Source organism: Homo sapiens, chromosome 13 (genome assembly GCF_000001405.40).
Source record: "Homo sapiens chromosome 13, GRCh38.p14 Primary Assembly".
In the NCBI taxonomy this organism is placed as follows: domain Eukaryota; kingdom Metazoa; phylum Chordata; class Mammalia; order Primates; family Hominidae; genus Homo; species Homo sapiens.
In genome coordinates this window covers 81,050,395-81,071,746 of record NC_000013.11, presented here as the reverse complement: position 1 = coordinate 81,071,746, position 21,352 = coordinate 81,050,395, and positions in this window count along the sequence as shown.

Sequence of the window (21,352 nt, the reverse complement as noted above, 5' to 3'; positions counted from 1 at the left end):
ACCTGAAAACATGAGATGGTATTCTCAAGGTAAAAGCAACTGAACTCAAAATGTTGCTTTTCACATAAGAGAGAAAATGAAAATCAATTTCAGCTCTCTGTATCAAAAGAGAGCAAAGAAATAACCATGCATGCTTCCGAAAATTTTATCTTCTTGTAAGGATTAAAGTAAACAAAAAGTATCTTCGAGGGTAACAATTAGTCTATATTTATTTTGAGGCTCTAAAATCAATTATTAACAAAGACTAGAAATAAAGAATTATATTGCTTCTAAGTGTAGATGAATCATACTTTATAAATACAGTAAGAATATTGAAGTTATCGGTACACTAAGAAAGTAATCAAATTAAATGTAACTGTGAATATTAATGTGTGTGTTTGTATATGAATTAAACAGCATTTAAACTTTCACCAAAGAAAGATGATAGATAGATAGATAGATAGATAGACAGATAGATAGATAGATAGATCGATCCTCAAAGGGAATTTTACAAATATTTGTGTAGCTTAATTATAAGTAAGTAAAAATAATTGAATCATAGAGTACATTGAATTTTAAAGCTGTGAAAATTTTTAAGAATAAAATAATTTAACTCCTTTGCTTCATCGGTATGGAAACTGAATTTTAAAAAATAAAAATCAATTTAGCTGATGCCTAAACAATTTAAAAAGAGTAAAAACTTACTTTGCTTAAATGAACGACAATTAAAATAACTTTTGAGACATTTATTGATTGAAAGCTGAATGAGAATCATTGGCAATGTAGACATTATTAAAATCACAGGTCAGGAAGAGTACTGCTTTTCTTTTAGGCCTATCTGGAGAATGCATCTAGCAAGTAAATGTATGTAAGTCATAAGAGTTTACCTGCATTTCTAATATGATACAGTTAAGTGAAATGTGACGATTTCAGAGGGCAGCCATAAATGTCATCATGAGTTAGAATACAGATTAGGAACAATTTAAACAGTTAGAAAAGCTAATGCAAAGGTCATGCTACTCACAAACCATGAGGACTTCAATTTTCCTGACATTTCCTCTAAGGATGTGAAGTTCACAATCTCCAAAGGACCATTTAAGTTCTATCTCATAAAACTGGAAGGCTTTCTTTTTTCACAGTCAATGACCAACTAATAAGGCAAGTGATTAGAGAGAAAGCAGTCCTAAGAAACAGAGCAAACATAATAAAATTACTTGGCATTCTTAATTTGGAAAGTCTACTAATTTAATCAGATCCAGCTAGCTTGATGAATAAAAATATTGGAGCCTGAAGGAGATATACTGAATATCAGAAGATTAGATTAATTAAATATAATGAATAATAGAAAGCAAATTAAAACATCAGGCTGAAGCTACAGGGGGCAAATTCCAGTTATTTATTTATTGTCTTGATCAAGTTATTTAATTTTTCTGAGTTAAAATTTTCCTATTTTGCAAACTGAAATAAATATATATTTAGTTCAAGATTCTTGGGGCATTAAAGTAACAGCATATATAAAAGTTCTTATAGGGGAGAGAGCCAAGATGGCCGAATAGGAACAGCTCCGGTCTACAGCTCCCAGCATGAGTGACGGAGAAGACGGGTGATTTCTGCATTTCCATCTGAGGTACTGGGTTCATCTCACTAGGGAGTGCCAGACAGTGGGTGCAGGACAGTGGGTGCAGTGCACCGTGCGTGAGCCGAAGCAGGGCGAGGCATTGCCTCACTCGAGAAGCACAAGGGGTCAGGGAGTTCCCTTTCCTAGTCAAAGGGGTGACAGACAGCACCCGGAAAATCGGGTCACTCCCACCCTAATACTGCGCTTTTCCGACGGGCTTAAAAAACAGCCCACCAGGAGATTATATCCCGCACGTGGCTCAGAGGGTCCTACACCCACGGAATCTCGCTGATGGCTAGCACAGCAGTCTGAGATCAAACTGCAAGGGGGCAGCAAGGCTGGGGGAGGGGCGCCCACCATTGTCCAGGCTTGCTTAGGTAAACAAAGCAGCCAGGAAGCTCCAACTGGGTGGAGCCCACCACAGCTCAAGGAGGCCTGCCTGCCTCTGTAGGCTCCACCTCTGGGGACAGGGCACAGACAAACAAAAAGACAGCAGTAACCTCTGCAGACTTAAATGTCCCTGTCTGACAGCTTTGAAGAGAGCAGTGGTTCTCCCAGCACGCAGCTGGAGATCTGAGAACGGGCAGACTGCCTCCTCAAGTGGGTCCCTGACCCCTGAGCACAGAGCAGCCTAACTGGGAGGCACCCCCCAGTAGGGGCAGACTGACACCTCACACGGCCGGGTACTCCTCTGAGACAAAACTTCCAGGGGAACGATCAGACAGCAGCATTCGTGGTTCACGAAAATCCACTGTTCTGCAGCCACCGCTGCTGATACCCAGACAAACAGGGTCTGGAGTGGACCTCTAGCAAACTCCAACAGACCTGCAGCTGAGGGTCCTTTCTGTTAGAAGGAAAACTAACAAACAGAAAGGACATCCACACCAAAAACCCATCTGTACATCACCATCATCAGAGACCAAAGGTAGATAAAACCACAAAGATGGGGAAAAAACAGCAGAAAAACTGGACACTCTAAAAAGCAGAGTGCCTCTCCTCCTCCAAAGGAACACATTTCCTCACCAGCAACAGAACAAAGCTGGACGGAGAATGACTTTGACGAGCTGAGAGAAGGCTTCAGACGATCAAACTACTCCGAGCTACAGGAGGAAATTCAAACCAAAGGAAAAGAAGTTAAAAACTTTGAAAAAAATTTAGACGAATGTATAACTAGAATAACCAATACAGAGAAGTGCTTAAAGGAGCTGATGGAGCTGAAAGCCAAGGCTCCAGAACTACGTGAAGAATGCAGAAGCCTCAGGAGCCGATGCGATCAACTGGAAGAAAGGGTATCGGTGATGGAAGATGAAATGAATGAAATGAAGTGAGAAGAGAAGTTTAGAGAAAAAAGAATAAAAAGAAATGAGCAAAACCTCCAAGAAATATGGACTATGTGAAAAGACCAAATTTACGTCTGATCGGTGTACCTGAAAGTGACAGGGAGAATGGAACCAAGTTGGAAAACACACTGCAGGATATTATCCAGGAGAACTTCCCCAATCTAGCAAGGCAGACCAAAATTCAGATTCAGGATATACAGAGAAAGCCACAAAGATACTCCTCGAGAAGAGCAACTCCAAGACACATAATTGTCAGATTCACCAAAGTTGAAATGAAGGAAAAAACGTTAAGGGCAGCCAGAGAGAAAGGTCGGGTTACCCACAAAGGGAAGCCTATCATACTAACAGCGGATCTCTTGGCAGAACTCTACAAGCCAGAAGAGAGTGGCGGCCAATATTCAACATTATTAAAGAAAAGAATTTTCAACCCAGAATTGCATATCCAGCCAAACTAAGCTTCATAAGTGAAGGAGAAATAAAATACTTTACAGACAAGCAAATGCTGAGAGATTTTGTCACCACCAGGCCAGCCCTACAAGAGCTCCTGAAGGAAGCACTAAATATGGAAAGGAACAACTGGTACCAGCCACTGCAAAATCATGCCAAATTGTAAAGACCATTGAGGCTAGGAAGAAACTGCATCAACTAATGAGCAAAATAACCAGCTAACATCATAATGACAGGATCAAATTCACACATAACAATATTAAATTTAAATGTAAATGGACTAAATGCTCCAATTAAAAGACACAGACTGGCAAATTGGATAAAGAGTCAAGACCCATCAGTGTGCTGTATTCAGGAAACCCATCTCACGTGCAGAGACACACATAGGCTCAAAATAAAAGGATGGAGGAAGATCTACCAAGCAAATGGAAAACAAAAAAAGGCAGGGGTTGCAATCCTAGTCTCTGATAAAACAGACTTTAAACCAACAAAGATCAAAAGAGACAAAGAAGGCCATTACATAATGGTAAAGGGATCAATTCAACAAGAAGAGCTAACTATCCTAAATATATATGCACCCAATACAGGAGCACCCAGATTCATAAAGCAAGTCCTGAGTGACCTACAAAGAGACTTAGACCCCCACACATTAATAATGGGAGAATTTAACACCCCACTGTCAACATTAGACAGATCAACGAGACAGAAAGTTAACAAGGATACCCAGGAATTGAACTCAGCTCTGCACCAAGCGGACCTAATAGACATCTACAGAACTCTCCACCCCAAATCAACAGAATATACATTTTTTTCAGCACCAGAACCCACCTATTCCAAAATTGACCACATAGTTGGAAGTAAAGCTCTCCTTAGCAAATGTAAAAGAACAGAAATTATAACAAACTGTCTCTCAGACCACAGTGCAATCAAACTAGAACGCAGGATTAAGAAACTCACTCAAAACCGCTCAACTACATGGAAACTGAACAACCTGCTCCTGAATGACTACTGGGTACATAACGAAATGAAGGCAGAAATAAAGATGTTCTTTGAAACCAACGAGAACAAAGACACAACATACCAGAATCTCTGGGACACATTCAAAGCAGTGTGTAGAGGGAAATTTATAGCACTAAATGCCCACAAGAGAAAGCAGGAAAGATCCAAAATTGACACCCTAACATCACAATTAAAGGAACTACAAAAGCAAGAGCAAACACATTCAAAAGCTAGCAGAAGGCAAAAAATAACTAAAATCAGAGCAGAACTGAAGGAAATAGAGACACAAAAAACCCTTCAAAAAATCAATGAATCCAGGAGCTGGTTTTTGAAAAGATCAACAAAATTGATAGACTGCTAGCAAGACTAATAAAGAAGAAAATAAAGAAGAATCAAATAGACACAATAAAAAATGATAAAGGGGATATCACCACTGATCCCACAGAAATACAAACTACCATCAGAGAATACTACAGACACCTCTATGCAAATAAACTAGAAAATATAGAAGAAATGGATAAATTCCTCAACACATACACCCTCCCAAGACTAAACCAGGAAGAAGTTGAATCTCTGAATAGACCAATAATAGGCTCTGAAATTGTGGCAATAATCAATAGCTTACCAACCAAAAAGAGTCCAGGACCAGATGGACTCACAGCCGAATTCTACCAGAGGTACAAGGAGGAAATGGTACCATTCCTTCTGAAACTATTCCAATCAATAGAAAAAGAGGGAATCCTCCCTAACTCATTTTAAGGCCAGCATCATCCTGATACCAAAGCCGGGCAGAGATACAACCAAAAAAGAGAATTTTAGACCAATATCCTTGATGAACATTGATGCAAAAATCCTCAATAAAATACTGGCAAACTGAATCCAGCAGCACATCAAAAAGCTTATCCACCATGATCAAGTGGGCTTCATCCCTGGGATGCAAGGCTGGTTCAATATACGCAAATCAATAAATGTAATCTAGCATATAAACAGAACCAAAGACAAAAACCACATGATTATCTCAATAGATGCAGAAAAGGCCTTTGACAAAATTCAACAACACTTCATGCTAAAAACTCTCAATAAATTAGGTATTGATGGGACGTATCTCAAAATAATAAGAGCTATCTATGACAAACCCACAGCCAATATCATCCTGAATGGGCAAAAACTGGAAGCATTCCCTTTGAAAACGGGCACAAGACAGGGATGCCCTCTCCCACCACTCCTATTCAACATAGTGTTGGAAGTTCTGGCCAGGGCAATTAGGCAGGAGAAGGAAATAAAGGGTATTCAATTAGGAAAAGAGGAAGTCAAATTGTCCCTGTTTGCAGATGACATGATTGTATATCTAGAAAACCCCGTTGTCTCAGCCCAAAATCTCCTTAAGCTGATAAGCAACTTCAGCAAAGTCTCAGGATACAAAATCAATGTACAAAAATCACAAGTATTCTTATACACCAATAACAGACAAACCGAGAACCAAATCATGAGTGAACTCCCATTCACAATTGCTTCAAAGAGAATAAAATACCTAGGAATCCAACTTACAAGGGATGTGAAGGACCTCTTCAAGGAGAACTACAAATGACTGCTCAATGAAATAAAAGAGGATACAAAGAAATGGAAGAACATTCCATGTTCATGGGTAGGAAGAATCAATATCGTGAAAATGGCCATATGGCCCAAGGTAATTTATAGATTCAATGCCACCCCCATCAAGCTACCAATGACTTTCTTCACAGAATTGGAAAAAACTACTTTAAAGTTCATATGGAACCAAAAAACAGCCCGCATCGCCAAGTCAATGCTAAGCCAAAAGAACAAAGCTGGAGGCATCACGCTACCTGACTTCAAACTATACTACAAGGCTACAGTAACCAAAACAGTATGGTACTGGTACCAAAACAGAGATATAGATCAATGGAACAGAACAGAGCCCTCAGAAATAAGGTCGCATATCTACAACTATCTGATCTTTGACAAACCTGAGAAAAACAAGCAATGGGGAAAGGATTCCCTATTTAATAAATGGTGCTGGGAAAACTGGCTAGTCATGTGTAGAAAGCTGAAACTGGATCCCTTCCTTACACCTTATACAAAAATTAATTCAAGATGGATTAAAGACTTAAATGTTAGACCTAAAACCATAAAAACCCTAGAAGAAAACCTAGGTATCACCATTCAGGACATAGGCATGGGCAAGGACTTCATGTCTAAAACACCAAAAGCAATGGGAACAACAGCCAAAATTAACAAATGGGATCTAATTAAACTAAAGAGCTTCTGCACAGCAAAAGAAACTACCATCAGAGTGAACAGGCAACCTACAAAATGGGAGAAAATTTTCACAACTGACTCATCTGACAAAGGGCTAATATCCAGAATCTACAATGAACTCAAACAAATTTACAAGAAAAAAACAAACAACTCCATCAAAAAGTGGGTGAAGGACATGAACAGACACTTCTCAAAAGAAAACGTTTATGCAGCCAACAGACACATGAAAAAATGCTCACCATCACTGGCCATCAGAGAAATGTAAATCAAAACCACAATGAGATACCATCTCACACCAGTTAGAATGGCAATCATTAACAAGTCAGGAAACAACAGGTGCTGGAGAGGATGTGGAGAAATAGGAACACTTTTACACTGTTGGAGGGACTGTAAACTAGTTCAACCATTGTGGAAGTCAGTGTGGCGATTCCTCAGGCATCTAGAACTAGAAATACCATTTGACCCAGCCATCCCATTACTGGGTATATACCCAAAGGACTATAAATCATGCTGCTATAAAGACACATGCACATGTATGTTTATTGCGGCACTATTGACAATAGCAAAGACTTGGAACCAAGCCAAATGTCCAACAATGATAGACTGGATTAAGAAAATGTGGCACATATACACCATGGAATACTATGCAGCCATAAAAAAGGATGAGTTTATGTCCTTTGTAGGGACATGGATGAAATTGGAAATCATCATTCTCAGTAAACTATCGCAAGGACAAAAAACCAAACACCGCATGTTCTCACTCATAGGTGGGAATTGAACAATGAGAACACATGGACACAGGAAGGAGAACATCACACTCTGGGGACTGTTGTGGGGTGGGGGGAGGGGGGAGGGATAGCATTAGGAGATACACCTAATGCTAAATGACGAGTTAATGGGTGCAGCACGCCAGCCTGGCACATGTATACATATGTAACTAACCTGTACAATGTGCACATGTACCCTAAAACCTAAAGTATAATAATAATAAAATTAAAAAGAAAATTCTTATATAGTTAATACACACTTATACATTTTAAAAGCATAGCCTAAAATATAGGAAATATAGGTTGTATAATATTGCATGTGATTTGGATAAATAATTGAAAAATAAATACATAATGGAAACAAAATAAATATATCACTTTCATGCTTACATATGTGTGGAGACCAGATTGGTAGGGGAGACCCTAACCCAGTGGCACTAGAGGAATTACAAGACACACACAGATATATAGAGGTGTGGAGTGGGAAATCAGGGGTCTCACAGCCTTCAGAGCTGACAGCCTCGAACAGACATTTACCCACATATTTATTGACAGCAAGCCAGTGATAAGCATTGTTTCTATAGATTATAGCTGAACTAAAAGTATTCTTTATGGGAAATAAAGGGATGGGCCGAAATAAAGGGATGGGTTGGGCTAGTTATCTACAGCAGGAGTATGTCCTTAAGGCACAGATCACTCATGCTATTGTTTGTGGTTTAAGAATGCCTTTAAGCAGTTTTCTGCCCTGGGTGGGCTGGGTGTTCCTTGCCCTCATTCCAGTAAACCCACAACCTTCCAGTGTGGGCATCATGGCCACCAATATGTCACAGTGCTGCAGAGATTTTGTTTATGGCCAGTTTTGGGGCCCCTTATGGCCAGAGTTTGGGGGCCTATTCCCAACGCATATGTAAAATGAAGATGAGAATAGAGAATTAATATGATTTGGCTGTGTCTCTATCCAAATCTCATCTTTAATTGTAGCTCACATAATCCTCATGTGTTGTGGGAGGGACCCGGTGGGAGGTAATTGAATCTTGGGGGCGGGTCTTTCCCATGCTGTTCCCATGATAGTGAATAAGTCTCCTGGGATCTGATGGTTTTATAAAGGGCAGTTCCCCTGCACATGTTCTCTTGTCTGCTGCCATGTAAGATATGCCTTTGCTCCTCCTTTGCCATCCGCCATGATTGTGAGGCCTAAAATATTGGTTGTACAATATTGCATGTGATTTGGATAAATAATTGAAAATTAAATACATAATGGCAACAAAATAAATATATCCTCCCCAGCCATGTGGAACTGTGAGTCCATTAAACCTCTTCCCTTTATAATTACCCAGTCTGTGGTAATTAGCAGCATGAGAACAGACTAATACAAGAATTTTTCTTAATATAATCAGAATCAAATGCTAAATCTTAGATATCTGAATATTTAAAGCAAAAGCCTTCTTATCTTATTTGTTGAAATGGTATCTTTACCGTACAATTTTATTTTTATAATTTGACTAGATAAATTAGCACATTGTATACTATTTTTTCAAAATGTTCTTCATTTTCCATTTAATAAGTCCCAGTCTTTCTTAAGCAATAAGAACATTGGAATAAAGATAAGAATAAAGTAGGATTGCAATCCTACCTTTATATTTCCACAAAAGAGGAAGAATAGTTCACATTTATATAAAATTATATTTTCATTGAATTAAGTTAAGAAGAGTTGAGTAATGTCTTCTCTCTGACATACGGGAGTACAACATTCCAGGCCAAAAGTATTGCATTTTAAGCAATTGTCTCTGGAATGCCTGCTTTCCAACAATTAACTTGATTCTAGTGAGAAATACTTGCTTATCTCCCTCCCAATTAATAATTATTGCCCTTGTTTTACTTGCATGTCCCAGGTACTGAAAACCTGAAATGATATATTTGACTCAGGAGGAAAAGATTAACAATAGTTCCCTTCTTAGTAAGTTTTGTTGACGTTATTCTTTATAGATCTCATACGTTTATCATACTAGGATAGCTTTGACATTATCTCTTCTTATTAAGTTTAATACCACTGTCTTATTTACTAAATCTGTTGTTTATCTGTCATACTTTGTGCTTCTATATTTTGGGCTCTATATAGGAAACCAGGGAAGATATAGATGTTCCACATAAAAATCAAATTCACATATGATGCCATCAGCGAAATACCAAAAATGGCTGCTTGGAAGCTGTAAATGCCATACAAATACTCTTATGGCAATGAGGCTAGAAATGGGGAAAGACTGAAAGGCTTCCTCAGTTTGTAAGTCTCTTAATTCAGAATCGCAACCACCCTGTGTGTTTGCAGAGGAAATAGATAGTTTGTAAGCTGCTTCAATTTATTGCTTGAGAACATGTGGAGAAAGGGAATACAGGACATTTGGAAGAGCTCACAACAGTGTTGCTGAAACTCCATTTTAGACTGAGAACTGCTCTTCAACATATTTGTCCTGAAAGTTTGATGGGAAATTCTCTTGTCGCAAGTTGCACTAAACTACCACAAGGGGTTTTTCTTAGCGTTCTTTCATCAGGAACTCTGCGACAAATACTAAAAGCTGCAAAACAGAATGCCAAGCAATACTCTTGAGGGTAAGATATGGTATGTTAAAGCCTCTTGGACTGTTTATAGGTTATTTGGTGAATGTAAATATATCAAACATTACTACACTTTTCCATATGCTATCACTTAATTAACTTTAAAAATATTGCACTTACTTGTTCCTTATTTCATTGTATATGCCAATTTCAAAATATACCACATGAATGTACTCTGTTTTAACTGCAGAAAAGGGGAAAAATATTTTTCAACCAGGCTGGCAAATACAACATAAATGTTTAAAATGTTTATCACAAAGGACATCTTTTACATTTAGAATACTACTCCGCCATCTAGAGGAAAACTAAGAATCTAACACCCAGTGGGGGAAAAATTCAACTAGAATGAATTCTTCATACTTAGAATGTAAAAATTATGGTAAGTAAATAGTGTAAAGGGCCGGGCGCGGTGGCTCATGCCTGTAATCCCAGCACTTTGGGAGGCCAAGGCAGGCAGATCACGAGGTCAGGAGTTTGAGACCAGCATGGCCAGCAAGGTGAAACCCCCTCTCTACTAAAAATATGAAAAATTAGCCGGGCATGGTGGCACGTGCCTGTAGTCCCAGCTACTCGGGAGGCTGAGGCAGAAGAATTGCTTGAACCCGGCAGGTGGAGGTTGCAGTGAGCCGAGATTGTGCCATTGCACTCCAGCCTGGCAGCAGAGTAAGACTGCGTCTCAAAAAAAATTACATATATATATATATTATAGTAAAGTCGCCATCGACAGGAAGATTTTTTACTAACCTTGTTAATGTAGATCATAGAAGTAATAACAATAAAAAGACAATATTTACAAAAATAAATCGACAGACATGCTTAGCAGCAAAACAAGTAAAATGTGAATATATTGATCTTTGCTTCTTTCTGTTATACAGATGATATCTAATCTTCATAAATTGCATCTGAAAATTATTTGCTCTCTTTGTGTCTCATTAATAATAAAATTCTTTGGCTGCAAATCTATGCATTGGAATGCAGTTTCTAACTGCTGATGCCTTTTTCTTTTTAGATGATTGACCTTTATGTTCAATGCTGTAAATACATTAAAACCTACTGGCACTCTCCATACCTCTTTGCATGTATAACAAGAGCAAAAAGCACTGATTGTGCATTCACAGGTCACTTTCATAGAATGTTTAATTTTTAAAAAATATTTCTAATCCAGTATTGCTTTTTCTTAAGGAAGTGAAAGAGGTATTGCTTAAATAATTTTTCTGGGAATAGCAGTTTGCTGATTATATATATATGTAATATATAATCAAGAAATAGAATGTTACATATTATGTAATATATAATATAGCATATTATATATTATATAATATATAATCAAGAAATAGAGAGAAATCTGTCTCTCTCTCTCTCTCTATATATATATATACATATATACAATCTATATATCGTTATGTAGTCCCTTCTATGTCTGTATATATATATGGGGAGGGACTACATAACGATATATAGATTTCAATGCATCACTAACTTTTGTTGTTGCTGCCATTGCTGTTTCTTGCCTATGTTCAGCTTAGCACATTCCCTTTGTGTACAATCTGTGATTTCAGGCACGAAAATAAAGGAAGGTGCATGAAAAAGTCACTTTTCATTATTCTTGAGTGAATTTCTGTTAGAGAACAAGAAAACTCTCAGTAGCTTGTACTGAACCCCTGCTGTCTTTTAAAAGGTCTTCATGCAAATTGGCATTTTTTATATAGGTTACCTTGTGAAGAGAAGCTAATTCGGTGAAGGTCAATTTATCTCAAAGCAAGTGTGAAATGTGTAGTTTGTTGAATTGATCTATTATTTCATTGAATGTTAAAATAAACCACAATTCTGTTCAGGTGAAATCCAAACTCTTAAAATGACCATGACTCATGAATAAAATAAAATATGTACTTTTCAAAATAATTAAATAATGGGATCTACCCAGTCATCAAATAAATGACTTTTTGGAAACTATTAACAAGAAAGAGTACATTGATGTTCTTTGATTCTTTTCACATAAAGAAAAATGTAGGCCAGGAGCGATGGCTCACACCAGTAATTACACCACTTTGGGAGGCTGAAGCGGGAGGGTCAACTGAGGTCAGTAGTTTGAGACCAGCCTGGCCAGCATGGTGAAACCGTGTTATCTATAAAAATACAAAAATTAGCCAGGCATGGTGGCACCTACCTGTAATCCCAGCTACTCAGGAGGCTGAGGCAGGAGAATTGCTTGAACCCAGGAGGCGGAGGTTGCAGTGAACCGAGATCATGCCACTGCACTCCAGCCTGGGCGACAGAGTGAGACTCGGTCTCAAAAAAAAAGAAAAAGAAAAACGTGTTTGTTTTTATTTTCTATTAGTATCTCAGTGCAGTTTCATTGTGCCCTTCTGAATTATTAAGGATTAATATGTAAAATGATCTTCTCTGTCTTTTTAAAAAGCCTCTTTAAATGTAAAATAGAATACAGATGGAAGAAAACTGTAAACAGCAGTCACATGGCTTAGTAAATTCTTATAAATTTTAATAAGGTAAAAACTACAAAATCCAAGAAATATAACAAAGCCACAAACAGTAGAGGCTCCTCATGGGCTCAGATTCAGTCTCAAAACCACCCTTTCCCTCAAGATTAGCCAGCATCCTGACTCTTATATTAGTCATTTCCTTTCATATTATCAACGTTTTATCCTCCAGGTGTGCTTCCCAAATAACAGTTTAGTCTTGCCAACTTTATTTTAATTTTATGTTTCAGTCTTTTCTAATTTACAGATTCCCTTCTGTCCTTTTTATTTCCTTGTAACTTATTTGTTGAAAATCATGTGATGTTTGACATTTAGGTTTTTCTGCAGTCTGGATTTTGCTGATTGCATACTCATTTCAGGATGTTCCTCTGTCATTTATACTTTTTGCAAATTGCCAGTTGGCCCCAGAGTTTTCCTCAGATTCATTTTCAATTCCTTTGGCAAGACTATAGGTATTGTCTTGTTTTATCAAGAAGCACGTCTTGTGGTATAATCAGTGGTTGACCTTCCATGACTAAATCAATTGCTGCTGCCTAGTGAGTAGCAAATGGCAATAGCCAAATTAAAGGTAAAAACACGGTTCAATTACTGCCTGAGTCCACTTGGGCCACTATAACAAATAACCACAAACTAGAAATTTATTTCTCTTACTTCTGGAAGCTGGAATGTCCATGGCCAAGGCAGATTCAGTGTCTGGTCAGAGCCCAATTCCTGGCTCATAGACAGTGCCTTGTTTCTGTGTCCTTACATGGTGGAAGGGATGAGGAATGTCTCTCAGACCTCTTATAAGGGCATGAATCTTACTCACGAGGGGCCCAACCTATTACTTAATCATTGCCCAAAGGCTCCACCTCCTGAAACCATCCAACTTGGGAGTGAGGATTTCAAAACAGAGATTTTGGGGAGACATGAGTATTCAGACCATAGCAACTACTATTTGGTTTCATAGTAATATAACTCCTTTGGAAGGACAGGATAAATCTTTTCCTTTTATATCTTATTTTAAGGATAATGATTTGCTTCCCTATTATTTTCCTAAAATTGTCTAATTATTATTATTAAGAAATTATGACTTTAAACATATTTGATGAATTTAATTTAGTCTTACATATTACCACTTTTGGAGCTCAAATTGTATCATGTTTGCCCAGTGGCAGCCTCTTCAATATGACACCTGAGTCTTTTTGACATAACCTTTAACAATTTAAAAAAGAAAAGGCATGTCTATTACTGGGCACAAAGATTATTTATCTCAATTTTTATTGTTTATATACATAATATGTCTGTAATCCAATAAAGAAATGTATACACACATACACACCATGAATATAAATCATCCACATTCAATAGATATCAAAAGAAGAAGATACATAAAGGGCCCAAATGTTGGAATTACTAGGGAAAAAAATATTTATAAATAACTTTTGCATTATAAAGAATCTAGTGGAAAAGGTATCAAATATGCATAACCAGAGATAGAATATTATAATACACAGAAATGGAAACTATAAAAATGAGATTAATGAAAACGCATGCACGCACACACACAAACATACACACACGCATACATATGTGTAAGAAATGAGAATGTCCTCAGTGGGTTATCAGCAAATTGAACACAGCAGAGAAAAGAATCATTGAATTTGAAGACAATTAGTTAAAAGTTATTCCAGCTGAAATTTTTTAAAAAGTTGGAAAAAGAAACAGAACAAATACATAACTGATCTCAAAGAAATGAAAACTTATTTCCACACAAAATTCTGCTCATGTGGCCAGGCGCAGTGGCTCATGGCTGTAATCCCAGCACTTTGGTAGGCCCAGGCGGATGGATCACCTGCAGTTAGGAGTTCAAGACCAGCCTGACCAAATGGTGAAACCCCATCTCCACTAAAAATACAAAATTAGCTGGGTGTGTGTGCACATACCTTTAATCCCAGCTACTCAGGAGGCAGAGGCAGGAGAATCAATTAAACCTGGGAGGCAGAGGTTGCAGTGAGCCGAGATCGTGCCATTGCACTTCAGCCTGGGCAACAAGAGCGAAAGTCCGTCTCAAAAAAAAAAAAAAAATCTGCTTATGAATATTCATTACAAATCTTATTTGTAATATCCCAAAACTGGTGACAATGATGTGATGGGGACGTTACACCAAAATATGGTACCTGGGCATTTGAGAAAACAGCAGATTCAGGAAGATCACCGTCACCTTCCTCTTGCTCTTCTTTCCTGAAGCAAGTCATAAAATCTTTATTTCAGAGGCACTTTCCCTATGCTTGGAGAAAAAGTAACATCCATATCCTAGAAGACACAGAGACGCCAAGAAGAATCTGAATATACAGGCCTTACAAAATTCCTAGAACTTAGTTTATGACCATTAGATCAGATCCCCATTGTGCAATCGTACTTCTACATGACTGTCTACCCTTCATCAAACTTAACATAAAAATGCGTGGGGTTTTCCGTTTCTTTGGGTCTTCATTTTTGAATGTACCTGTGTTACATAACACATATTAAATAAATGTGTATATTTTTCTGTCATTAATTTATCTTTTGTTATAGACATCTCAGCAGTAAACCTTGAGTTGAGTGAAAAAATAATATTATTTTTTCTCTCCTAAAAACACAAATATCCTTCAATAAATAAATTGTTAAACTCTGGTATATCTATTCAATATCCATCCAATTTAATAATAACCAGGGCCGGGCGCAGTGGCTCACGCCTGTAATCCCAGCACTTTGGGAGGCTGAGGCAGGCCGATCACTAGGTCAGGAGATCGAGACCATCCTGGCCAACGTGGTGAAACCTCGTCTCTACTAAAATACAAACAATTAGCCAGGCGTGGTGGTGCGTGCCTATAGTCCCAGCTAGTGGGGAGGCTGGGGCAGGGGAATCACTTGAGCCTGGGAGGCAGAGGTTGCAGTGAGCTGAGATCGTGACACTGCACTCCAGCCTGGCGACAGAACAAGACTGTCTCAAAATAAAAAAATAATAATAATAATACCCAAACATATGCAGTAACACACGATTAATACATGTAACAACTTGGATGGATCTCAAGAACATTATCTTGGGTGAACAAAAGTTAATCTTAAAAAGTTGTGTGGCTTCATTTGTATAACATTTTCAAAATAACAAAATCAGAGATATGGAGAACATATCAGTGATTGATATGGATTAAGAAAGGGGTGAGAAGCAACTTTAAAAGAATAGCACAAAGTATTGCCTGTCAATTTCCAACTTTTAAAATTTATTTTTGATAGCACTTTATATATACATATATAGATATATATAACTTTTTATTATTACTCCCACATTTTGGTGGCTTCGTATTTTTTTATTTATTCAATATATTGTAATACACTGTGCTGTACTTGTCATAGATTTTTTAGATTGAAATTTAATTCACTTGTTTTTCTTCTTTATTTGGGAAGTGAAGTTTATGGATTTTCCTCAGTGGATTTTTCCAGATTGATTACAGAGATTCTAGTATGTTGGACTATCTTTACTGCTATTTTTGATGTTTTGCAATTATATATACTTGTGTCTCTCTTAGGCAGAAACATAGTATAAAGGCATGTTTTCTTTTTGCCATGTGGATGGGGGCTTTTTTTTCAGTTGTGTTTAATTTCTGATTTTATTGCATTTTGCTCCAATATTTTTATATGATTTTCATTTTTATAATTTATAGAATTATTTTAGTATGGCCTAAGATATGGTCAATAACAATATTATTTTTAATTCAGCTAAAAACTCTATTCCCTAATAATAGAAGAATTCAATATATGAGACTGTGTGTATATGTGTGAATATATATATACATAGTGTGTTTGTGTGTGTGTGTAAATATATATATATACACTTAAAATATATATATACACACTTTCTACATAAAAAGAGTATAAAATATTTTGTGATCCCCAAAACTATTAAGAGTGATATCACTCCATTAAAAATGAATGTTATATAGCATTTCACTCTATAAATATATGAAATATTATATATACATTATGCTGATAATTTATGAGTTTTCAATTTGGGGCTATGATGAATAGAGCTGGTAACAGCAGCTAACTAAAGGCCATTAAATAAACATATTTATGTGTTTCTGCTGGGTTTAAACCTAAAAATGGAATTTCTGTATCATAGGGTATTCAGATGTTCATCTTTAACAGATGCTGGCAAAGATTTTTTTAAGGTGTTTGTCAGATATTCTCTTTTCACCAATATTCTGTAACTTTTCTGGTTGCTAAATGTTTTTGCCAGTATATTGTATTTAATTAAAAAGTATTTTAACAATGACAGTAGGTAATGTATTATCTCCTGTGAAATGCTTGTTCGTTTGTCTATTTCTACTAGAATCTTTTTGAAAATGATTTATAATAAATCTTTATTTCTATATTTACTAATATTTATAGTAATTTTTATATGTTATAGATAATAATATTTTGCTAAATATCTTTATTGTGAATATGTTTTCTCATATTTTGGGATACATGGTTTCTTAAAAGTAATGAAGTCTAATTTGCTAGTTTCCAGGTTTTTATTTGAGTGCTCTCAGTGTCCTAGATAAAGATTTGTGCCTTTCTCTAAGGACATACAAATATCCTCCTGTGTATTCTTCTCAAAACTTTATTGGTTACCTGTGTACATTCAGACCTACAATTAATATGGATTGATTATGTTTATCCTTGCAATTAAGGATCAAGAGAAAATTATTTTCTATACAATTTTCCAATTCATTTGGCATTATATAGTAACAAAATCAGCCTTTCCCCACTGTATATATGAAGATCTACTTCTGGACATAATATACTTTTTAAAACATTAATAGACGTTATTGTTTAGAGCTGTTTCAGGTTTGTAGAAAAAAATGAGTGGAAACTACAGTAAGCTGCTCTCTACTCCCCTCACCTAACACTCCTTCCACACAGCTTCCCTTATTATAAATATCTTGAAATACTATGGCACATTTCTTACAATCGATGAGAGAACATGATACATTACTATTAACAAAATTCCATAGTTTCCATTAGTGTTCACTCTTTGTATTGTACAAGCTATGGGCTTTGACAAAACCATAATGGGAGGTAACCACCACTATAGTATCATAACCAACTGTTTATCCCTCCCCCACTTCCCACCAACCACTGGAAACCACAGCTCTTATTGTTTTTATTATCTTTTCCAGAAAGACATATAGTTAGAATCAGTCTAGTATGTAGCCTTTTCAGAGTAACTACTTTTATTTAATACTTGACAATATTTATATGAGTATCCTCCATGTCTTTTTGTTGCTTGATACTTCATGTTTTTATGACTGAATAATATTCCATTGCATGGATTACCAGTCTGCTTATCCATTCAACTACAAGATTACATCTTGGTTGCTTCCAAATTGTGGCAATTAAGAAAAAAATGCTATAACCATTAATGTGCAGGTTTTTGTGAGGACATATATTTTAAGTAAATACTCATACCAAGAGTGTGATTGCTAGACCTTATCATAAGATGAGGTTTAGTTTTGTAAGAAACTGCAAATTGCCTTCCAAAGTGGCTGTACCATTTTAGTTTTCCACCAATAATAAATGACAGTTTCTTTTGCTCCATGTTCTTTTGTCTAGTTGTATTAGGATTTTAAATCTCCTTAATTGTAAGATTGGGAATTAATCAAACTATATGTTTTCTGGGAAAAAAAAACCTAGCAATCTATGTTAATGATGAAAATAATAGTCTGGGGTACTGGAAATGACATTTTGTATGGCAAAAGTTAGCACTGTCCTTCAGTCCTGCTCTGGTACGAAGCCAAATGACACAGCATTTCTAGTGCTAAAACTCTATGAATTATCTCCTTTCAAATTGCTCTACAAAAACTGAGCTAGATTTTCCTTTTCACAGATGGTGTCACCGGCCTGTACCTTAAACAGTGATACGTGAAACAACTCCTTTCACTACTCTTGCAGATGATCAAGGACATCTGGCCTTACGTCTAAATAGGAGGACCTAGAGTAGTTTAAATTGAGGCCATGAAGCAGCCGGGAAAGTCTCTCATGTGTAGCTCTCCTGAGCATCTAATTAACTGTCTGTGATATTTGTAACCTCTTCAAACAGTCTGCATAGTCATTTGGATAAACATTTAAAATATTCTAAATTTATTAGTATTCTAATAAATAAATAATTATAGATTCAGCTACCACTGAATCTACAATATACATCTACTGGCACATAAAATAAATTGCAAAGTGTGATTGCTTATATGTTCCTCTGAATAATATGAAAGAATGACTTAGAAACTGTAGCACTTCACACCTATACAGTGAACTGCCTATACCTTAAAGAGTTTTCACATGGGATTTAGATTAAACATACCTGCATATGTGCATTAAATATAATAAATATAATGGGTATTATGTATAAGTATTTTATATCAATATTTTTGGACATTCATGTTTATAAACTATTAGTTACATTTGAAGTAAAATTCACTCTGTACAGCTATGAAAAAAATGTGTATTAAAAAATAAAGTGTCTACAACTAGTTTCCTTTTTTAAAGCAGAATTCAAAGAAAATAATGTCCAATTCTGCCTATACTGATAGATGACATTAATGAGATAGTGCATTTATTGTATTATTCTCAGTGTCTGCAACTTCACTATAGAATAAGGAGAAATTGCCCAATCTTTTTTCATTTTTGCCAACTTGCACTTTGGCAAATAATGACTAAAATGACTTTGTACAAATATTTTTCACCATAAGCCTTTTTCTCAAAGTTATTGGGATTTAAATTAATCATTATTATGTTTTTATAATGTCACCTTTTAAGGAACTCAAGATTGATAGGTATAATTTGAAGGGCAGTGCAGCTCCAAACATCTGAATACCCCCTGCACACATCATACTGACTCATATCTCACTATTAAAGATTCATTCCACTGGGATAGAGTTTTAAGAAATTTAAATATTCAAAATATCCAAAGAAGAGGCAAATTTAAAAATTTAAAAGCTCACAGGAAGTCTCTATTTTTATCAATGGCTACCTGATCAGGCAGGAACTAGAGAAAAGCTAGATGAAAACAAGTTAGAGAAAAAGGGGTAAGAGACAGCAGAAACACTCACTTTCCACAGGGTCAGGAGAGGGTGCCAGAGCTCCACTGCTTATACTTTACATATGTAGGGGCAGCCAATCTTGTATACATACTCATGAGTCTGACAGTATAACAAAATTTTGCCCACCTAACTCTTAACATTGATAAAGCATGGCTTCCTCTAAATTATTATCTCTTCAAATTTAAGTATCTTGGTTTTATTTTGAAGCATCCTTTGCCAAAAGCAGATATTAATTCTATGGCACTAAATATGTAAAAAACCTTAATGCACAACGACCAAGGGCATTGGAAATACACAGATCTAGATTTCATTTTTAGCTCCATCAAATGCAATGTATGACACCATATTGACTTCAATTTCCTGGTTTCCAAATATACAGAACAAAGACAATAACAACATGTTGAATTGTTTGCCACTAATGTTTACAGTTTATGCGTATAACATATTATTTCTCACACTGAAACATTTGATAACATTTTAAATATTCATAATTGTTTTATCCATTATAAAATATTTATAATAGTTTTTCTCTTTACCTCAAGTTTGATGTAAAGATTTAATTAAATAAGCTATCAATAATAATGCCTGGTAAAATATAAGATGTATATAAATGGGGTAAGTGTGTGTGCTAAACTAATACTACTGTCCTCTCATTAACTTAGGAGCACTGGGCAATTAGACCATTTTATTAGACTTTGTTTATTTTATACAGTATTGTAGGACAGTGCTTCTCTGAAGAACAGACATAATCTCTGCATTTATGGAAAATCTATAGTAGGAAGCAGTCATAAGCCTTTAGTTTTATTTTGGTTATGTTTTGGTTTTTTGCCTCTATTACCTTTAGGACATGCTTCCTCAATGCTTGACCTCCAAACTGAGTTAGTGTTAATGCATGGATTTGAGTCTTCCTTTCTATATTCAGATAAATGTGGCTCTCACTGTCTCCATATTACAACATGTCAGATAAGTTTATGTGTAATGTCTTTTGAAATTATTCACAAAAATTGGATATCCCATCCTTTATATTCTATACGTTTTAATATGATATTTCCTTTTGCAATAATTGGCCCAGGAGTCCTTTAAATAAACTTTTGCATAATTACAGCAACAGAAATACTATGAATTTTATAGAACATGCCATGCCATGGTCTTTTTTTTTTTTTTTTTTTTTTTAATAAACAAGGTCGTATTTTGCCACACAGGCTGAAGTGCAGTGGCGCGATCGAAACTCACTACAGCTAGATCTCCCGTGCTCAAGTGATCCTCTCATTTCCACTTCCTGGGTAGCTGGGACTAGCGGCACGTGCTACCAGTGCCAGCTAGTTTTTTTGTTGTTGTTGTTGTTTTTTTTTTAATTTTTTTTAGAGAAAATAGTTTCACCATGTTGCCCAAACTGATCTTGAGCTTCTGGGCTTAAGCAATCTGCCTGCCTCCACCTCCCAAACTGCTGGAATTATAGGTGTGAACCACTCACTGCACCCAGCCCATGCCATGATCTTTCAAAAATCAGTTGGCTGCATTCTCTGCACTAGAGTAAAAACATATATACAATTTTAAAAGTCTTAAGCTGCTATAACCCAAGAAGATCACCGTGCCTTTAAAGATATTTAATCAAAGGTCAAGAATAAGAAATGTTGAATGAAAGAAAAATTTATAATCACTTTTTTAATGTAAAATAGTTATATTATTTATTTAATCATTAAAGAAGAAG